This window comes from Homo sapiens, chromosome 7 (assembly GCF_000001405.40).
Source record: "Homo sapiens chromosome 7, GRCh38.p14 Primary Assembly".
NCBI lineage: Eukaryota > Metazoa > Chordata > Mammalia > Primates > Hominidae > Homo > Homo sapiens.
Window position 1 is genome coordinate 15,385,081 of NC_000007.14, and position 20,360 is coordinate 15,405,440.

The window sequence follows — 20,360 nt, forward strand, 5'->3', positions numbered from 1 at the left end:
TGAAGGTAAGTATGTTGAAACTGATGAAAAGTGTAATTTCCCACACATTTAATTCTGACTTCTGAAGTATTTTTATTGTAATTGTTTTAAAATTTGTTTATGGCAAATAATTTCTTATTTATCACACAGATTCACAGCATACCACTCAGTGAACATTCTGCACAGAAGCATTTTGGATAGAATTCATTCATTTACATTTAGTAGTCTAGAAGATTTGTTTTACCTATTTAAATGTGAGACGTTGCCAAAATTACAGCAGACCACTACAGAGAATATATGACAGCCTTAATATGGGGAGCTTATTTTCATTTTCAAACAAAGTAACAGATAATGTTCTCACACTACTTAAAATGGATATTACTTACAGCTGTATCTGCAAAGGTCTCTTCATAAAATGCCAACATCAGAGCAAACTGTACAACTGTATATATCTTTAATAGCTGAGATGAAGATGATGAGAAGGGAACTTCTTTGCCGGTGACCTAGGGAGACAAGAACCATTTCCTTTATATTGCTCCAGACTCATTTTTCTTACTGAAATTCACACTAAGAGATATTTGAAAAAAGTATCTGCTATTTTTTTTAAAAAAAGACAAACATAATTTTTAAAAATAGAAACATGTCTAAGTTAGGAGACTTTCTCATTTTGAAAGCATTACAATTATGACGTAGTCTGCCTTAAAGAGCAGCATAAGAACTAATTCAACAATATGTGCAAATAATAAAGAGAGCCAAAATGCATGGGATGTATCTTCCCTATTTGATATGTCCACGATCACATCTGGCGGCAAAAGCAAAGTAAAAGAAAAAACAGAAGGTGCCAGATGTGGTGACTCACGCCTGTAATCCCAGCACTTTGGGAGGCCGAGGCAGGCGGATCATTTGAGGTCAAGAGTTCGTGACCAGCCTGGCCAACATGGTGAAACCCCATCTCTACCAGTAATAAAAAAATTAGCTGGGCATGGTGGCACACACCTGTAATCCCAGCTACTCAGGAGGCTGAGGCAGAAGAACTGCTTGAACCTGGTAGGCAGAGGCTGCAGTGAGCCAGGACTGCATGACTGTTCTCCAACCTGGGCAACAGTCCCAAAAGAAAAAAAAAGAAAAGAAAAGAAAAAAAAGGTGATCTTGGCAGTGTAGGTAATCATGCTTCAAAGAAAAATACTATTTTATTGGAAACAACTTTTCTAAAGTTATTTATTGGAAACTTTGGAGAAGTTTTTCCAATAGACTACGTTTCTACTCTAGCATTTAAGTTTCCCCAAAATGCTACACATCTATATTTTTTAATGCAGACTCCAGCACTCACATAACTTTAAAATACTGTACTCACTTTGAGTTATCTATTGACAAAATGAAAAATAATAAATCGATCATAGCAAACAGCTTTTTGGAGTTGAAATATAAAAATTATTTCACCTATATCAAGTTGGTGGATTGTTGCACAATGAATTGTGAACATAAACGGAAGTGGGAAACTTATTCCTAGCGGCGTTGGTAACTGAATGAGAAAATGTCATTATTTAGATCAGGATTTTTTCAAAATAACAGTATTTAAATAAAACATCTTATTTCCTTGAAACATCACAGGCTAACTTTTGTACACATAGTATCATCCTTGAAATTAAGAGTAGTTTACTCTTCCTATTGTTTCTGCATTACTATACATTTATTTGATAAGAAATCACAACTTATATTCTAAATGATTAAAAAGCACCTTCTCTTTCTTCCCCAGAAGAGTAATTTTGGGTTAAAACTGAATTTTTCATTTGGGTTCTGCTGTTTTAAAGATCTTTTTTATTTTTGGTTTTCAATGTGGTTTCTGCATTTAATTGTTCTACTCTACTATAAAATGAATATAGTTATGGTTTGACCCAAAATCCACACTGTCTTAATGTGACTTTAGATACATCTGTTCTGGGGGCCTCAGTTTTTCATGAGTGGAGTTAAGTTTAGACTGGCTCATTCCTAAGGCTCCCTCCGTCTCTAGTGTTCTAGGACTCTGTGTCTGAGCTGCATGTATTTGTGAAGTTATGCCCTACACAAAGGCAAGCGTTCAAGTCGATATGAAAACCAGCCTCTGCAGCACTGCTCCACAATCTGTGCTCCTAGGTAAAAGGCAGTGTTCACCTGGGAGAAGGCACTCCTTTAATTGGCACAAAGTTGGTGGATACTCATTAAGTAAGTTATGCACCACAGGACTGCATCTGACTGGGGGAACATCTTTTTACAGATTTGCATGAAAACAGCGTATGTACAGGCTGGCTGTAGACCTGACAATATGAGACAATCTTCACCATCTCCAATTCTGTGAACTCTATTTACCTCTGGAATTTCTTCACTGAGACCAAGTCTTGGTTTACCTGGACCCCATCCCGGTCCCTTAAATATGACAGAAAACTTATTGAAGAATCCAGGTGTGGCCCAGAATGTAGTCCATATGGAAAATAAGTGATGGAACTAGAAACAATAAAAAAAGAGCTTATTTCACATAAGATAAATAGGAAAGATTAAATACCAAAAGTTATGTATATTATTTTATTGTTCAAGGTAATTTACGTATTTAAAACGTTATGCCTGATTAGAGCAACAGAAATGTGTAATTGCATTCCATGCTGTAATCTATTCTATGCACTGTATACCATTAAGTGCGTTGTTGTCAATATATCTAAAGTTCAATAAAATTATAATTTTGAAATGTAAAAACAGGGCAATTGTTTAGACAATCAGCAAAGTAGGAAAAAAATGAGTTAAGAGGCTTTGCTTCCAATGGAATTAACTAGCACCCTGTGCACTCAACATCCCTCCCTAATGACACATTCTCTTTTTTTTTTTTTTTTTCCCCAAGACAGAGTCTCGCTCTGTTGCCCAGGCTGGAGTGCAGTGGAGCGGCTTTGGCTCACTACAACCTCTGCCTCCTGGGTTCAAGTGATTCTCCTGCCTCAGCCTCCTGAGTAGCTGGGATTACAGGTGCCTGCCACCATGCCAGGCTAATTTTTGTAGTTTTAGTGGCGACAGGGTTTCTGTTTTGGCTTTATCAGAATTTGTGATTTTGCTAGTTTTCAATGAGTTGAACCATTAAGATTATAAAAAATAATTTAAAATTGCTTAAAATATGACAATAAGGAATCTGAAGCAATTCAGAAATAATTTAGAACCATTTATGCCTAGTGTTCCATTATTGGAACCCTAAGCATGTGGGTTACTTATATCCTACTGCTCAAGGTCATCGCCAAGCTCTAATTGGAAAAATTAAAAAAATTGCAACCTCAGGCATATGGGTTAATGGAATAGATCTGAGGAATAGGTAAATGTTAGGTGGAAGCTTCGCCTGGGGCTTTGCAATAATAATAATACAGAAAACCAATGTGCGTAGAAGTTATAATGTACATTAATATACTTAATTTGTTTTGTAATTTTGGAAACTGAGTACAGTTTTGTTTCTATCATTCTGGACACAAGCCATGAGAAATATATGGTAATGTTTTAAAATAAAATATTGTTTTTCACTTATTTATTTCCCAATGCTCTGAAAATGTGTGATGACAAAGGAGGGCAAGGTCAATGATTTACGCCTAATAATAAGGAAAACAAACAAACAAACAAAACCCTGTGTCTGTTGGGAGCCATCCTAAGTTGCTTTGATGCCTCTGCAGAATAGGTGAGAAATTTACCTGTATATAAAGGAATGGAAGTGAAAATAAGTGAATATTTTTCTAAGTTCAAGTATTCCTAATTATCACAACTTGCCGGCTTGACATTTCTGACAATGTAAGTAAACATGTAGAAGAGTAAACCTTAGACCCACTTGTGGCAATTACTATGCTGAAGGAAATGTGAGGGGGAAAGACCTAGAGAATTGAACCTAACAGTTTCAGCAGCTGTTCCTAAATACCTGTGATTTTCTGACCACCATTCCTCTCAAAATACTAATCATCCCACTATGTGTGCAGCTCTTATTGTATTTAATATTCACTTTCTCATTCTGTCTCAATTATAAATGCCGTTTTCCTCAGCAAGACTGTACACTCCCAAAGCCTTGCTTCTGAAAGAAATCACCCATCAACTGGCAGCACTGGCATCATACAGAGGCTTGTTTAGAAAACACAGGATCTTGGACCAGACCACAGAACTACTGAACAGAATCTGCATTTTAGTAGGATTCTCTGATTCACATGAACATTAAGTTTGCAAAGCTCTGCCCCTAGAGGATAGAGATGAAGGTGTCTCTTTTTTAATGACTGCAATAAGGAGACAACTCCTATATGAAGAAAAGGGAGCTTTCAGTGTACCATTTCTCAATTGGTTTTATTTACACAAAGCTTATTATTAAGAAAGGATCCAAAATATTTGCTTATATTCTCCTGAGGTGTATCATATTCTTAGTAAGTTTAATCAAGATACAGACACAGATAGAAATGCCATATAGTTGAGAAGAAAGAAGAGAGATAACCACCTTTCTTCTTTTGGTGTACGAGGAGATAAAAATGCCTTTCACTGAACAACTGAAGGGAATTTGTTATGGCCCTTTACGTAAAGAGGCAGCACTGTGTATCAGTTAAATTGAGTTAAGCAAATCTTGGGCTTAGCCTTTCAATCCACCTTGGTTAAGTTTACAGCTAACAAGTTTTCAAACTTTGGGTCAATTATTTAAATTCTGAGAACCTTGGTTTCCTCCATCAGAAAATGGGAATGAAAAGAGCCACTACTTTATAAGGTTTTAGTAATAGCTACATTAAATATTTTTCTGCTGCGCTGTTAGCAGTGCACATAGTAGAAGCTCAATAGATGTTAACAATTTTGTTATTTCAACTTTCAGTGAAACTCGAAGTAGTCTGGAAAAGCTGACCCAACATGAGCCAGTAAGTTCCTCACTTACCGAATGTTGTAACCAGTCCCCCGTACAGAGCTGTCATTGACCCACCTCTTCAGCTTTTCAAGTATTCTTATCTTTTTCTCATTTATGAGTGCCTAACCCCAGGAGTATTTGTGGTGGTCTGACTCTGACGGATCAGAGCTTCACAGACATTCCTGATTTCTCTAGTGCCAACCATCGAGACCAATGAACAACCAGTACCACATGTCTAAGAGAAAACTGGTCCAGTCCAACAAGTCTTAGCAAGCGAGGTAATGCACAGACTTAACCAATCTGTAATAGTTCCTGACACTTGGGTCCAAGAACAGTAACACAAAGGCCTCACGATGAATTTCTAACCAGAGTCATGCACCCTGGAAGCAAATATTTTTCTTACTGCGGGATCAGCCTTAATTATACATGTTACTATTGCTCCTACTGAATACATGAACATATTTCAGGTCCATTCTGAGAAAGGATATGTTTAGAAGCCACTTTATTTTTCATTCTAGGCCATAGACATATTTGAAAATTACTTGTTTTAAAATGTATTTTGCCTGATTTGATTCAAACTTTTGCTTGTGTAACAAAGAGTTATTTGTAAATTTTTTAACAGTTAAAAATTTTTTCAGGTTAGTGTAATATACTTTCACTTTTCTACAGCTGATTTTTCTCTTAACTATAAGATTTATGAAATGATATAAATGAAGAAAGAATAAAAAACAAGTATGTTACCTGCACTTTGATTGGTTCAAATGTATTAATGGGATGTGTTAAGCCATATACAACTTTTTCATTTTCTGCTTCAAATGTCCCTGGAAGATAAATATAAAGATATGAGATTTGGCTTCCTGTAAAGTAAAGGAGCTGATTTAATTTTTTGATTTTAATACATTTTACTTACCAAAAATTTTATCCCAAATAATAAGAACACCAGCATAATTTTTGTCTATGCAATAACGATTTCTGCCTATGAGACAAAATATTAGAAATTTTTTTTCAGAAAAATAGTTATGCTTTTTGAGATACTTCCATCTTGTTTTTTAGAATATATTCATAAAATTCAGATTTAAACAGGGTACAATTTCCCTGGGAATGTCTTCTCATTTATAACATCAGATTTTATTGTCTAATAATGGAATTTTTATTTTTCAATTAATTATACTAAAAAGGGGAAGTGTTTTCTTAAAGCTAGATGCATGCTTTCTTGTCACAGTTTTTCAGTATAAAAATGGAATAAATGTAAATAATTTTTTCAGGACCATTAAAGAATAAAAATTAAGAATTAAATGATACCAAAAATTATAAATGAGAAATAAAATCAGAAAACGATGTATATAAATGTTTTTATTTTAAATTTTTGATGGGATGTCTATCCTTTTTAACTGCATCTGTTTCAGGAAGGAAATTTTCTAGAGTTAGACCTGACTAGTTTTTTTAAGATCATAAAAGCCACAGTAAAAAATAAACTACCCTTAACTTTTTCAAAACTCATATCATATGTATTTTTCCTGCCGCTAAATAATTATAATGCAAATAGCTGGTCATTATTTATTTAATACATTTTTTATAAAACTTAAGTAGACATAATGATATCCACATGACTGTAAATCTTAAGAAAAAGAATAATTAATTAACCAAGCCATTACCCCAAGAAGCTCAACTATCCTGTGTTCCCATTCCTTTGCATGGTTTCCATGCATGCAACCACACATTTGAATGCACAAATACAAAGAAAAATCTCCCATAGTATAAAAGGAGAGAGAGATTGGCTGAACAGATGCAGACACCGTTGCTATATACATGCTTTAAATAATGGTTCTGAATTAGTAGGGAAGCATTTTGCCCCTTAAGGAACATTTGGCAATTTCTGGAGACATGAGTAGCCACACCTGGGAGGGGATCCTAATGACATCTAATGGGTGGGGGCCAGTGACGTTGCTAAATTTCCCACAGTGCACCGAACATCCTCCACAACAAAGAAATATCTGTCCCAAAATGTCAATAGTGCCGACGTTGGGAAACCCTGATATAAGCAGGCGTGGGCATGCGAAGATGAAGTCAGAGGAAGTAGCAACTGTTTCATTTGGTAATGTGGACTTGTTCTTCTCGACTTCCTATATTTTTTATTTTTTAATTTAATTTTTTTTTTGAGATGGAGTCTCACTCTGTTGTCCAGGCTGGAGTGCAGTGGCGCCATCTCGGCTCACTGCAAGCTCTGCCTCCCGGGTTCACGCCATTCTCCTGCCTCAGCCTCCCGAGTAGCTGCGACCGCAGGTGCCGGCCACTATACCCGGCTAATTTTTCTGTATTTTTTTTAGTAGAGATGGGGTTTCACCGTGCTAGCCAGGATGGTGTCTTATCTCCTGACCTCGTGATCCGCGATCCGCCTCCCAAAGTGTTGGGATTACAGGCGTGAGTCAACATGCCCGGCCCTATTTCCTTGTATATAGAAGGAACTGCAAGTGTATAATCCCCTTGGCCTCTCCACTCCCCAATTAGAGATACTTCTTGACTTATGGAGTGGTTATGTCCCCATAAACCATCTAAATTAAAAAACATTAAAAGTCAAAAATGCTTTTAGGCTGGGTGCAGTGACTCAGGCCTGTAATCCCAGCACTTTGGGAGGCCAAGGAGGAAGGATCATGAGATCAGGAGTTTGAAACCAGCCTGACCAACATGGTGAAACTCCATCTCTACTAAAAATACAAAAATTAACCACACGTGGTGGCTGGCACCTGTAATCCAAGTTACTTGGGAGGCTGCAGCAGAAGAATCACTTGAACCCGGTAGGCGGATGTTGCAGTGAGCCCAGATTGTGCCACTACACTCCAGCCTGGGCGACAGAATGAGACTCTGTCTCAAAACAAACAAACAAACAAACAAACAAACAAACAACTTTAAATACACCTTATCTACTGAACATCATAGCTTCGCCTAGCCTGCCTTAAATGCGCTCAAAGCACTTACATCAGCCTGCAGTCCTAGACAAAAATCATCTAATACAAAGCCTGTTTCCTAAGTGTTGAATATCTCACATGGTTTATGGAATATAGTACCGAAAGTAAACAGAACGGCTATATGGGTTCTCAAGGTATGATTTCTACTGAACATGGATCACATTTGCATCACTGTGAAAGTCGAAGAATTAAAAGTCGAACCAATCATAAATCAAGGACTTTCTGTCCTCCCTGGAATTGGAGAATGACTGTTGAGTTTGGAAGAGGAAACCGCCTGTGCCCTCTGATCTGGCCTCTCCCCTTCTGGGGAGTCCCCTTCTACTCGACTCCCTGCCATAAAGATAGGGACCTGCCCTTCTTGGAAAGGCAGGGCTTCAGGGATTCAGGGTTGCCGAGGAAGACTGGAAACTTATAGAAACAGAACAATAGCATTTACTTATGTATTCATTTTACTGGCTTCCTTCTCTCAGTATTGTTTGTGAGATTTATTCATGCCCTTGCATGTAGCAATGGTTTGGGCATTTTCATTGTTATATCCTTCTCCATTACATGTATAATATAAGATTTATCTATTCTACTGCTGAAAAACATTTGAATTATTTCTATTTTTTCTATCACAAATAATGATGATATGCACATTGCTATATAGGGCTTGGGGTACACAATGTAAACATTTTTGTTGTTACTTAAGTTGGTGTCTTTAAACGTTAGGCACTTGTCACTTGGGATTTTCTCGTCAGGGAAACGCAGCTTATACTGAGATTGTTCAACGCCTTAGGCAGGAAGGTGAAGTGTTGTTTATTGGGCTCTCCTTAAATCAAAACAGTTTTCAAGACCACTAACTCTCTGACTATAGATAGGAATGACCTTCAGCACTGGGTCAAGAAGTAGCCTTTGACAGAATCCTTTAAAACATAAAATGTGTATTTCCTCAGCTGGTTAACTCATTTTCTACAACAGTGGAGCTAAGATTTAGGTAGAAAGAAAAATCCAAAAGTCAGATAGATAAATCCCCCTACCCCACCCCACCCCACCCCACCAGTTCATACTTTGGAGATGAGGCTTGTACCAAAGAAGATAGAAAAGAAGAAACTATTATTTATTTGTAAAATGTGTGCTGACTATATTGGGAAATTGTGATTAAATGAGATTAAGGAAAATAATAATGCAATTTTTAGAGAAATGAAGAAAAGAGAGAAGAAACAAAACTTCCTTACCATGATGAACCCTATGATGGCTAGGAGTATTAAGAATCAGTTCCAAAGGACCAAGGTTATTGATGACCTGTTTAAAACAGAAGGAATATTTATACATGTAGTTATCATTAAATGTGTGTTAGTATATAAATGCTCACATTAGAAACTCACATAAATTAAGAGATATTGCGAATTTCAGGGTTGGTATCAGAGAGTGGAAAAAAGTTCCACTGAAATCTGGAATTCATATAAAGACAATAGTAATCTCAAAACTCTATTCTGAGACGTGGCATGGTGAGTATGGTGTCGTGGTTAAGAGCTAGACGACTTTCAGTTCAGCTCCAGGAATCTCCACTTACTACTGTGTGATCCTGGGGAAACGACTAGGTTTTCATATCTCAATTTTCTCATCTTTAAAATGGAAATAGTAACATATCTACATAATAACGTTGTTCTGAGGATTATGAATGTTACTGTATTACACACCACTATCACCAAGGCACACTACCCTTAGATTTCATGTTGCATTATAGTTTTTGCCTTCCAACTATAGCTTTATTTACGGGAGCAGGGTATAACTAGGAGAGTGAAAACAACTGTGTTATGTTTCCCGGAGTTGTTTCACCCTGTAAATCAGCCATGCAGCAACGACTTACTATTGCATCAGTAATCTACGGCATTAGGGTGATCCTACTTATTCAAATAGAATCCTAAATCATCTCTTACCTTTAGAGGCATGGTCTACCATTACATCTTAGAGGCACAATTCGAAGTCAAATATATAAAAAGGCCTTTTTTCACAATTAAAGTTACTTCAATATCTGGTGCCTAATTCTCACATTTCTTAGATTCCCCTAGTTCTGAGTCTATAAATTCTAAAAATCATAGAAACCAGGTAGGTGTCATGAAAAAAGTATAGCAGCCCAGATGTAAGACATTTGGTATGTTACATGAATAATACTGGACAATTTGAGATCTTCCACCAACCATGGCAGATACCAAGATATTTTACTTTTCTTTATTCACAATCTAAACTGATTTGTTAGAGCCTACCAATGACAAAATCAATACACTGTTATGATATTTTAAGACATGACTCACTTTTAGGGTTAGCTTCCGTTTGGAGGACATATGAGGAATAAAGAAATGAGTTAAATGATGCGAAAGGGCAAAATAGTCACTGACAATTATGACATTGATATGAATTTGATAAGTCAGTGTCACGGGAAGAAATAGAGATAAGACTGCTTAAAATTAAAAAAAATTTAAGATGCATAACTAAATTTAAGGTGTGCACCTTTAGATATCGATTTGAACAAACCTAACATAAAAGACATTTTATAGGCAAAAAACAAAAATTTATAATAAACAGGGTATTAATAGGAAAAAATATTTTCATTGGGAGTTATAATAACATTGTCATTTTGTTAGAAAATGCATTTGTTTAGCGTTGTATAACTGAAATATACACGACAGCTGATCCAGATTATGCTACGAAATATTTTGGCAATGAAAAAACAAAGAAAAAAGGACAACTGATGCAAATTAATCAAAATCTTGAGTTTTGAAACAAAATGGATATATAAATTTATTGTTATTCTAATTTTATGAATGTTTGAAAAAGTTTGTTAAAAATTTAAACTGCTAGTAATGTCCATAAATCCTCACTAATCCAACTGAAAATAATAAATTGCCTAAGTCTCAGACATATCTCTAATACAAAACTCTTTATCTAGGAGCGTTTGTTTTTTGACAACCTCTGGCATTAAAACACCCAATTTACAGTTGCTCAATACATGTGAATAGGTGGGGTGACCATATCCTCAGCTTGTGGCATCACATCCCCTCTTGAAATGGAAGCTGTGGCAATGTTGCCACATATCAAAGCGGATCCTTCTCTGGGACAGGAGCCATCATCATCATCATCTCCCTATTAAGCACATTGTTTACCCACCTGAAAAGAGTTCTTGTCTCTCTCCCTGTTGCCCAGCTGCTAAGGGATTTCCACTTTCCATTTCAGAACGGACAGAAATATTTGCATGCAAAAGACTGTAAACCTTGTTTTATATGTCAATTTAGCCCTCCCTCGTCCAGAAATGGTGGGTTCTTGGCCTCGCTGACTTCAAGAAAGAAGCCCCACGGACCCTCGCAGTGAGTGCTACAGTTCTTAAGGGCAGCTTCTCCGGAGTTGTTCTTCACACATGTCTGCAGTTTCTTCCTCCAGGTGTGTTCCTGGTCTCGCTGGCTTCAGGAGTATAGCTGCAGATCTTCACAGTGAGTGTTACAGTTCGTAAAAGTGACTCGTCCTGAGTTTCCTTGGTTCAGTAACCTTGCTGGCTTGAGAAGTGAAGCTGCACACCTTCCGGGTGAGCATTACAGCTCATAAACGTGGCAGGGACCCAAAGAACGAGCAGCAGCAATACATACATTGCAAAGAGCAAAAGAACAAAGCTACCACAACGAGGAAAAGGACAACAGCTTGCCGCTCCTTGCTTGGATCGCCAGCTTTTATTCCCTTATCCGGCCCCGCCCCCTCCCCCACACATCCTGCTGATTGGTCCACTTTACAGAGAGCTGATTGGTCCACTTTACAGAGAGCTGATTGGTCCACTTTACAGAGAGCTGATTGGTCCACTTTACAGAGAGCTGATTGGTCCATTTTACGGAGAGCTGATTGGTCCATCTTACAGGGAGCTGATTGGTCCGTTTTACAGAGAGCTGATTGGTCCATTTTGAGAGAGTGCTGAGTGGTGCGTTTACAAACCTTTAGCTAGATACAGAGTGCTGATTAGTGCGTTTGCAATCCTTTAGCTAGACAGAAAAGTTCTCCAAGTCCCCTCACCTGATTAGTTAGCGACTGAGTGCTAATTGGTGCATTTACAAACCTTTAACTAGACATAGAGTGCTGATTGGTGCGTTTACAATCCTTTAGCTACACAGAAAAGTTCTCCAAGTCACCACCGGTCCCAGAAGCCCAGTTGGCTTCACCTGTCACTGGCACCCGCCAGGAAACTTTGCGGTACCTATCCTGGGCACTCCCGCAGCCCAGAGGGAGCTCTCCCAGACAACCAAGAGGAAAAGTGGGGAAGCGAGAAAGAGACGGAGACCCGCCGTCCTGGCCTACGACCCCGCGAAGAGGGAACGGCGGTCCGCGCATGGTACCCAGACCCTGATCAAGCCCAGCAGGCGCCGGCTGGCCGCGCCCAGTGCGCGGTCCACCGAACCCGCAGCCGCCCGGAACCCGAGCCGGCCCGCGAGCGCCTCGCGCAGCCCCGGCTCCCGCACCTCTCTCTCCCTCCACACCTCCCCGCAAGCAGAGGGAGTCGGCTCCGGCCTCGGCCAGCCCCACAGAGGGCCCCCCACAGCGCAGCGGCGGGCTGAAGGGCTCCTCGAGCGCGGCCAGAGCTGACGCCCAGGCCAAGAAGGCGCTGAGAGCTAGCAAGGGCTGCTAGCACGTTGTTACCTCTCACTACCTACCTTACTTTCCTCCTTCCTTCTTTCTTCATTCCTTCTTCCTTTTCTCCCCACCTCTCCCTCTCTTTCTCTTTCTTTTTTCTAATCTGGGGTGCTATCCACTATTTTTAAAGTTATTTCCATGAGAGATATATTTTGGCCTACAAACAGCAAAACTTTGGATTAATTCATACAATGGAGCTCATTTATACACCAAAGATTATTTGTATTTTTAATTTCAGGAGTTTAAAATACTGTGAATATATAGCTCTTATAAAAGAATACACTCCTATGAAGTAAAGCACACACTGTTAATAACCAGGAATTGGGAAGAAAGTACAGATAAATAACCCTGTATTTTATTGGACTATATTGCTTTCTACTTGGTGAAAAACTATTTGTTAAGAAAAATGGTGGAAAATAGAGAACAAGAAAGTGGGGGATCCTCAGCAGTCAGGACATTGAAATCTGATGCTTTGGTTGGGCTTTGTATCTATGACAGAGAACCAGATGGGAAAGGAGAAAACCAGTTTACCCTTGTTTGTTTCTTTGGTGCCCAACATGTGTTACAAAAACAAACAACAAATGTGGGTGGAGAGGACTACACTGACCAGCTTCTGCTCCCCAGATGAATTTCTGATCCTAGGCCCTGGCGTGTGTGCAGCCAGATGTAAAGCCACACAAATGGTGAGTGCATGCAGATGATTGGAGCCTTGGCTGAGTGCACTATTTTTTTTTAATGTCAAGCTCTTTATTGCGGTGAAAATCTTTTGCTCCTGCAGGCTAAAGCACGGTGATAACAATATTGAAAGTTCGTTTTTTAAAAAATAGTTAAAAGCCAAGTACAACACAGTCAACCACAGATAAATTTCCTGGTAGTGCCTATGAGTACCTTGGAGCTGGGGAAGACCACCTCTGAGTGAGAGATGATTCATCATTCTGACAGCCCAGTCAGAACCTCTCATGTAAAAAACCCTTCCAATTCAAAGTCATGGAGAATTCATTAATATTTATTAAGGGTTGAGCATAACGGCTTAATTATCGCCTATTTTTGCAAATTCAGGCATTTGGCAATTCGACGACGTCTAGCTTTGAATCACTTCCTGAAAATATGTTACTCTGGGAATAATTGTAGCAATTCTCATTTTTAGAAGTTATTTGTTTGTATTAATTTTTTAGACATAGATGGGTTTATTTAAATTATCAAATTTTAGGACATACAGAGGGCTTCAATATAACATAGTCCAATACTTCATTATTTTTAAAAAACCCATAAAACTGAAGCTCAGAGAGGTTAAACTACTAGTTTAAGTTTAATCAGCTTGGAATAAGCCATAAAGCCTTTCCGATTTCAGCTCATGAATCTTTCTACTTATCCATCATATTGTTTTTAAGACATACAGCAATTTTCCATTGAATAAAAATAATTTAAACTTTTACAACTTTAATAGAAAATGATAATTCCTTTTGTATTTCATATTAGTTAAAATGATGCCAGGTATTTATAAAGATCCCAGGGATTTCAGCTTCTAAACCTCCCCATATGGTATTTTAGGGATTTTTGCTGCTCCTTTGGTCTCTGAAGCAATGCTCTAAATATTGTATTCTGTAAGTTGTTTTTTCTCGGTCTTACAACTTGAGAACTATGGATGCCTAGAAGGGCCATGAAGGGGTTCAGAAAGTCAGGAAGACCCTGAAGTTTTAGATGAAATTTTATAAATAAGCACCTATGATATTTTTCTGGGGAGAAATTCTACAATTTCTATTATATACTGAAAAGGAAACATGAGTTCATAAAGCTTTAAGAGCCAATGTTCTAAACAGAGTTGACTAGGTTATTTCCTTTGCCTTTCTTAGTTATATTGTGTTGTCAGTTTACAGATAAGTAAAACCTGAGTGCTAATTTCTCACCCAAACTTCACAGAAACTTAAAACATTTTTTGGGGCACATTTTTTAAAACTGTTAAATTTTTCAGACTATTTCTTAAGCTATTTTATTTGTATAGTAACATCATAAATATATAAATAATACAAATAACAATTTTGTAACAGTAAGCTCCATGATGACTCACTTTCATTCAACAAAAATGCTCTGGACAATTTGTTGGAATGATCACAAACTCCTCATTTCTTCCTCTCCAGTCTCTGGTGAAAGTGGGGAAGAAGAGTTAAATATAAAAGCAAGAGAAGAGGGAGCCATAAGACCGTCGTTATGTCATTTCCCCTGACCAAAAATAAAATGAAACCAAATAAAAAGACTCCTTGTAATGAACCAAACAATGTCCAAAACTTTCAGAGTTCAAAGCTGTTCACATTCTTTCTGGATAGTGATTTCTAATGTTCTCTTTCTTCTCCGTCTAAGACCTTAACCTTCTATCTTACCTTTTGGAATCCTGCTTTATCTTCGAGACCAATTCTCCAAGCACTCTTCTTGATTTTTCCAATGAGTTTTGTTTTCCTTTCTCTGAATGCATATTGAGAGATCATTAATTCTCATGTCTTCCAGTTCTTTGTGCTAGTTACTTGTTTTCATTTCTCATACTATATTGCAAGTTTCATGAGGATAAAAATTGTGCCTTACCATTCTCTGTGTCTCTCAGGTCACATACAACATTGCTTACACATCGTGATTGTTTGACAATAGTATATTCAATAGATAAATCCCCCTTACTCCTCTCATACTCTTATTTCTTTACAGCAGCGGTTCTCAAATTGGGGTGATTATCACCACCCCCCCAAGCAATTTTTAATGTTTGGAGATAATTTTAGTTGTCATAACTGGGAAAAGTGCTACTGGCATCTAGTGAGCAGTGGTGGGTTTAGTGCTGTTAAACATTCCACAATAAATAGGACAAGCCCCACAGTAAGAATTATCTGGTACAAAATGTCAATAGTGCTGAAGTTGAAGAATTCTACTTTGTGGGTATGAGTGTCATTCCGTGCTCTAGACCTTTACTGTTCAGGAGGAAAACACTGTATAATTTCTGTGTTCTAATCTGGGAGTTGGTGAGAGGAATGTCGTAGGGAGTGAGTGTGGTGGTCATTACCAGGACCAAAGGCAAAGCATGAGTCTGGAGCTCTTGGAGTTTGAAGCCAGGAATGAAAGTCCGAGCATGATCTTTGATCAAGTGAGTTGGGCAAGTTAAGATAAAAAGCTAAAATGAAGGAGCCAAAACAAACAAACAAATAAACAAAAGAAACAAAATCACAGAGCAAGGAACTGTAAAACTGGATAATAAGGTGATTAAATTCTGGTGATCATTGGCAAGTGAATACCATAAATTATTTTATATTATCTGAGTTCAGTTTTATGAGAGCTTCAGTTTCAAATGAAAGTAGCCAGAGATGGAAAAGTGATTATGAAATTTCTTTTGAGAATCCTTATGATCCGCCCTATCCTGCACTTACACATTAAGTTGAATAATGTAGAGACCTAAAAGGTTAATGAAACTCCCATTGTATCTAGGTGACCAGTCTGAAATAATTTTCCTATGGAAATTGATAACCTATGTACATGTGATAAATTAATTAAATGCTTACTCTGATCACAATTTTTTTCATGATACAATTTTCAGAAGTTTTCTCACTACCTTACATTACCTAAAAAATGTAATTCTGTGTCTTGTGTCTTTCCCATTTAAATTGAAAAATACTTTAGAGTTGAATTCTACAAAGCATCAAAATAAATATTCTAAATAAATGTCCTGTCTGAAATTATTTTATATACAATTAACTTATTCTATTCTATATAATTCATAATTATTTCTCTTGATTCCTTTGATTGGCAAACATTGACTAGTTAGATTTTTGTGGCTTGGTTAAAAGTAGAGATGCAATTAACTGGTGATTTTAGTTACAGAACAAGACTTATCTTCATCAAAAATATTCAGTTTGTTCAAAACAAATTATTTCATTTGTTTGAATTGCTTGGAAATTTGCCTCCTCTTACCTCATTCTGACTATTGAGGTTGGAGAAGAGACTTCCTAAATATTGGGAATGTCACATAATATTTCTATTATTCAATTTTTACATCTGCAAATGGATACTAAAATACTAGAATATGTTATTGAAAAGTCATAGGAATATTTATAACCACTTACTTTTCAGAAAGAAGGCATGCATCTATGGTTAATTGTAAAGTTCATCCCAAATAAAAGATGCTTACAAATATTTATGATTCTTGTCTGAGAGGGAAAAATCATAATAGGGAAAATATATCCTAAAAAGCATGTGTTTTACAGAACCCTCTTTATAAACATGCATGTGCAAGATGATATGCTAAATGCTGAGGAATGACTGGGTTTGGGTGAAGTGAAATGAAATCTCATAGTGGAATAGATGTCTGCATTTTGATGAGCATAGGTTAGAGTGACAACATTGACTATAACTAGTCAAGACTTTTCGTTACAGCGTCATGCATGAATGATGTTCCAGCGGAGCCCAGACCACTGTGGGTCTCCTTATTCACTGCCACCAGTATTGAAGGGAAATACTAAGCCCAGCTTCTCATACATTTATTATCTGATATGAAAATCTTTGTCATGTTAGATTCAGCTGAGAAAGATATGCTTAAAATGAAGTTTGAAAATGACAATTTTTAAAGATTAATTTTCAGGTAAATTAGTGACAATTCAGTGTAAGCCAAGTCTAAAATTAAATGAACTAATATGTACACCATAATTACTTGGCTTTTTCCTGGCCACTTTTCTTCTCCCACACCTCACTTCTGTTCCTCCTCCTCCTCTTTTATTTTTTTCTCTTTCTTTTTCTCTCTCTTCTTCTTCTCTTTTTGTTCATTTATTCTTTCATCTATCTATCTGTATCCATCTATCTTATCTATCTAAACGTGTGTGTGCATATGTACAAAAATTTATTTGGAAAGATCTTTATAATTCACTATAGGCTCATGCATACTTATCTAAAAAGTGTGCAGTAATAAATATTTCTGTGCTCCTTCAATAAGATATTCCCATATTCTCATTTGCAGATGGAAAACCTGAAGGGCACAAATCTTATGTATTATAGTCATATATTTAACCTTATTAAATATATTTATCATTTAATAATAATATATATTAAATATATTAAATATAAATATATATTAACCTTATTAAATATATACAAATATATTTAATAAATATTAAATATTCAAATGCTGAACAATTACTGTTTTAAATACTAAACTACCAATAAGGGTTTTCTATCAACACTAGCAATAATCTATTTCAGAGCGTTAAAACCTGTATTTATAAATTCTTATCAAAATCTCTTACTCAAAGCTATTTGCATAACAAGAGAGCAAGATGTCTCTTGTCAGCCAGTTCATTTATTCTGCAAATATTTATTGAGTTTCTAGGGACTTCACTAGGTTTTAAAAGTGAAAAGAAATGATGTAATACACAAGCATTGCCTGAAGGAAATTTACACTCCAATGGACCCTTCAATGGAAAGTTTAAACTGTATCAGAAAAAAAAGATTTTACAAACAAGTTACCTTTTCCACATAATTTTGTTTTCCTTTGGGACTGATGAAAAAAATCACTCATTTTTCTTTCTTTTTCAATTACTATTTCGCAGTAGAGATATTTGAATTTATAATCAATTTGAACTTATAATTGGCACAAGCATTGTCTAATAAGAAGCAAAATGAGTTCCCTTTCCAAGTCTCAAGCTGAAAATTAATTTTAGTGTAGATGTGTGCTTTTATTTAGTTTCCTGTAGTGCAGATTTGCAAATACTCTCATTGGTTATTACTGAAGAGAATTTAGATTATTCTTTCTTGCTCATAAATTTCTTCAACTGATTATACAGAAATTGAAATAATCTGTATGGGTTTCATTTATTCTCTGGTTATTTATTGAGTACAAGGTACTGCAGTAAGATCTTTCAAGACGTCATAGAGTGGAACAATGGAAATTACATTTTAATGTCTACTAATTTATGTATTTATTAACTTAAAGGTAGAATAAATGACAACATCAGCATTTATTGTTTGAATATACATAAAAATATGATTTTATACTATCAATAAAATCTACAGCAATTCTAATTTAAAGTTTTAGAAAAAGAATAAAATCCATGAACACTATAAGTCAACATATTAAAATAGTTTCTTGTTCTGAATTAGTTGATCTTTAAACACTTATTGTTTTACTTGTTACAAGCTTAATCAACCTGAATGTTTATGGATACATTTATATTATTGAGCATCTGGTGATGAAATGTAAAAATAAAATCTTAATTACTTCTTCCACTATTTCTGCTGTGTTAATTCAAGACAACCACACAAGTATTTAGACAGATGGTAGTGGCGGCCATATTAGCCTCTGATTTATCTGCAGGGAAGGAAGAGAAAGCAGAACTCTTAGGATATGTGCTTGTCTGCCTAGTTTCACACTTTGAAATGCTGGACAAATGCTGATTTATTCACGGCCAAATGTTTTCCTGTTTGATTAGACAGTTTTCTACTTCAGTAAGCATGTAATATGGAGGTAGCTGAATTTCCACACTAAGGAGTGAAAAAACAATATTTATAGTTTGGAAATAAAACAATCTGGAGGAATCAGGACTGTTGGGATCATAAGGAGCTTCAGAGGGAGTAAATTTCTGATGAATCCATACCACAGGGATAAAGAGTTAAAGGCTTAGTTTTAATGAAGAATGGGACTAGGTTATGTTTATACAATAAACAAAAGTTTTAAAGGACTGCGTTTATAATAAATTATCTTGAAGGCTGATTCTTGTCACTTATGATTACATTATTCTTCAAACAAAAAGACAAGAGCAGGACAAGTTAGCATTTTATTTGAATTTGTTTCAGCATATCTTTTGAATAACACTTTTGGTTTCTACTTGGAAAAATGAACACAAGTAACTGTTAAGCATGTTCCCTCAAAGGAGAATAAGTTATTTTGTTATTTTTAAACAACACGGAGTAGATTTACAGAAGAAAAACTGGAAACATTTATAGGTTTAACCATCTCAAACTTCATCCTTATGTAACATCATTTTATATTTACAGGTTTAGGCATCCAGTGATAAATGGAATCATGCTAGTATGAGTAATAATAACATTATTTTAAAAGAAGGCAACTGAAAAACTGAAAGGTTAAGTAATCCGTGTCCAAAACTCCAATCCACAGTCTTATGGTACAAGCTCCATACTTTTGACTCTTTCTAAAGCTCACTGTATTGTGACTGCCATTATGATCATATTCCCAATTTCAGATATGACTTCTACTGCTTAGTCAACAAATATTATTGATTGCCAACCGACTATGTGCCTGACATCATCTGAGCATTAGATACTTTAGTAAACAAAGCAAATACGAATCTACATTTTAGCTTCCATTCTCGAATGTTAGATCGCTTTGTCATCCATTATAAACTTTTATCTGTTAAAAAATATTTTCAGATACTAATATTTTAAAGTCAAATATTATATAATACATTCTCAAACACTAGATTAGAATCTATAAGGACTTACACGTCTTAAGTTCATTTGCCCTGTCATTTCCATTTTCATAGCTTCCTGCTAAGGACAAGCTATCTTACTAAAGCATATCCTTTCCCTTGTCCTCTTAGGGATTAAAAAATCTATATTATTAATACATCCATTCTGACTCAGGTCTTTCCTATGAGTACATTCTTCTTGTCGCTTTCTCTGCCTCCTGACAATAAACAAACATATTGTAGACAATCTACTTAACACAATCAGTGCGTTCATTCATTAAAAAGATGTTTGCTGGTGGTGATCTAAGTTTTATACACTGGGAAAACAAAAATTAATACAACATAGTTATTATCCTCAAGATGTTTACTATCAGCTTCTATGTTCATGATGCTCAAAATTTATTCCATTTACATTCAGTCTAATGCTTGTTCAAAATGCAAATT

At 36.2% G+C, this 20,360-nt stretch overlaps 1 protein-coding gene across 7 annotated transcripts in view; it reads right to left on the reverse strand.

The window, feature by feature from the left end:
* Positions 1-20,360, reverse strand: part of AGMO (alkylglycerol monooxygenase) — a 444,793-nt gene that overhangs the window by 267,858 nt on the left and 156,575 nt on the right. For all 7 annotated transcript variants that reach the window (XR_001744759.1, XM_017012204.2, XM_011515402.4 and 4 more), the window contains exons 6-10: positions 9,033-9,099; positions 5,760-5,825; positions 5,591-5,670; positions 2,326-2,460; positions 366-482 (exon numbers count right to left, since the gene is read on the reverse strand). Coding sequence is in view for 6 of the 7 variants with exons in the window: in XM_017012204.2 (XP_016867693.1) it covers positions 366-482; positions 2,326-2,460; positions 5,591-5,670; positions 5,760-5,825; positions 9,033-9,099 (465 nt within the window). In the remaining variant the exon portion in view is untranslated. The remainder of the gene's footprint in view (positions 1-365; positions 483-2,325; positions 2,461-5,590; positions 5,671-5,759; positions 5,826-9,032; positions 9,100-20,360) is intronic.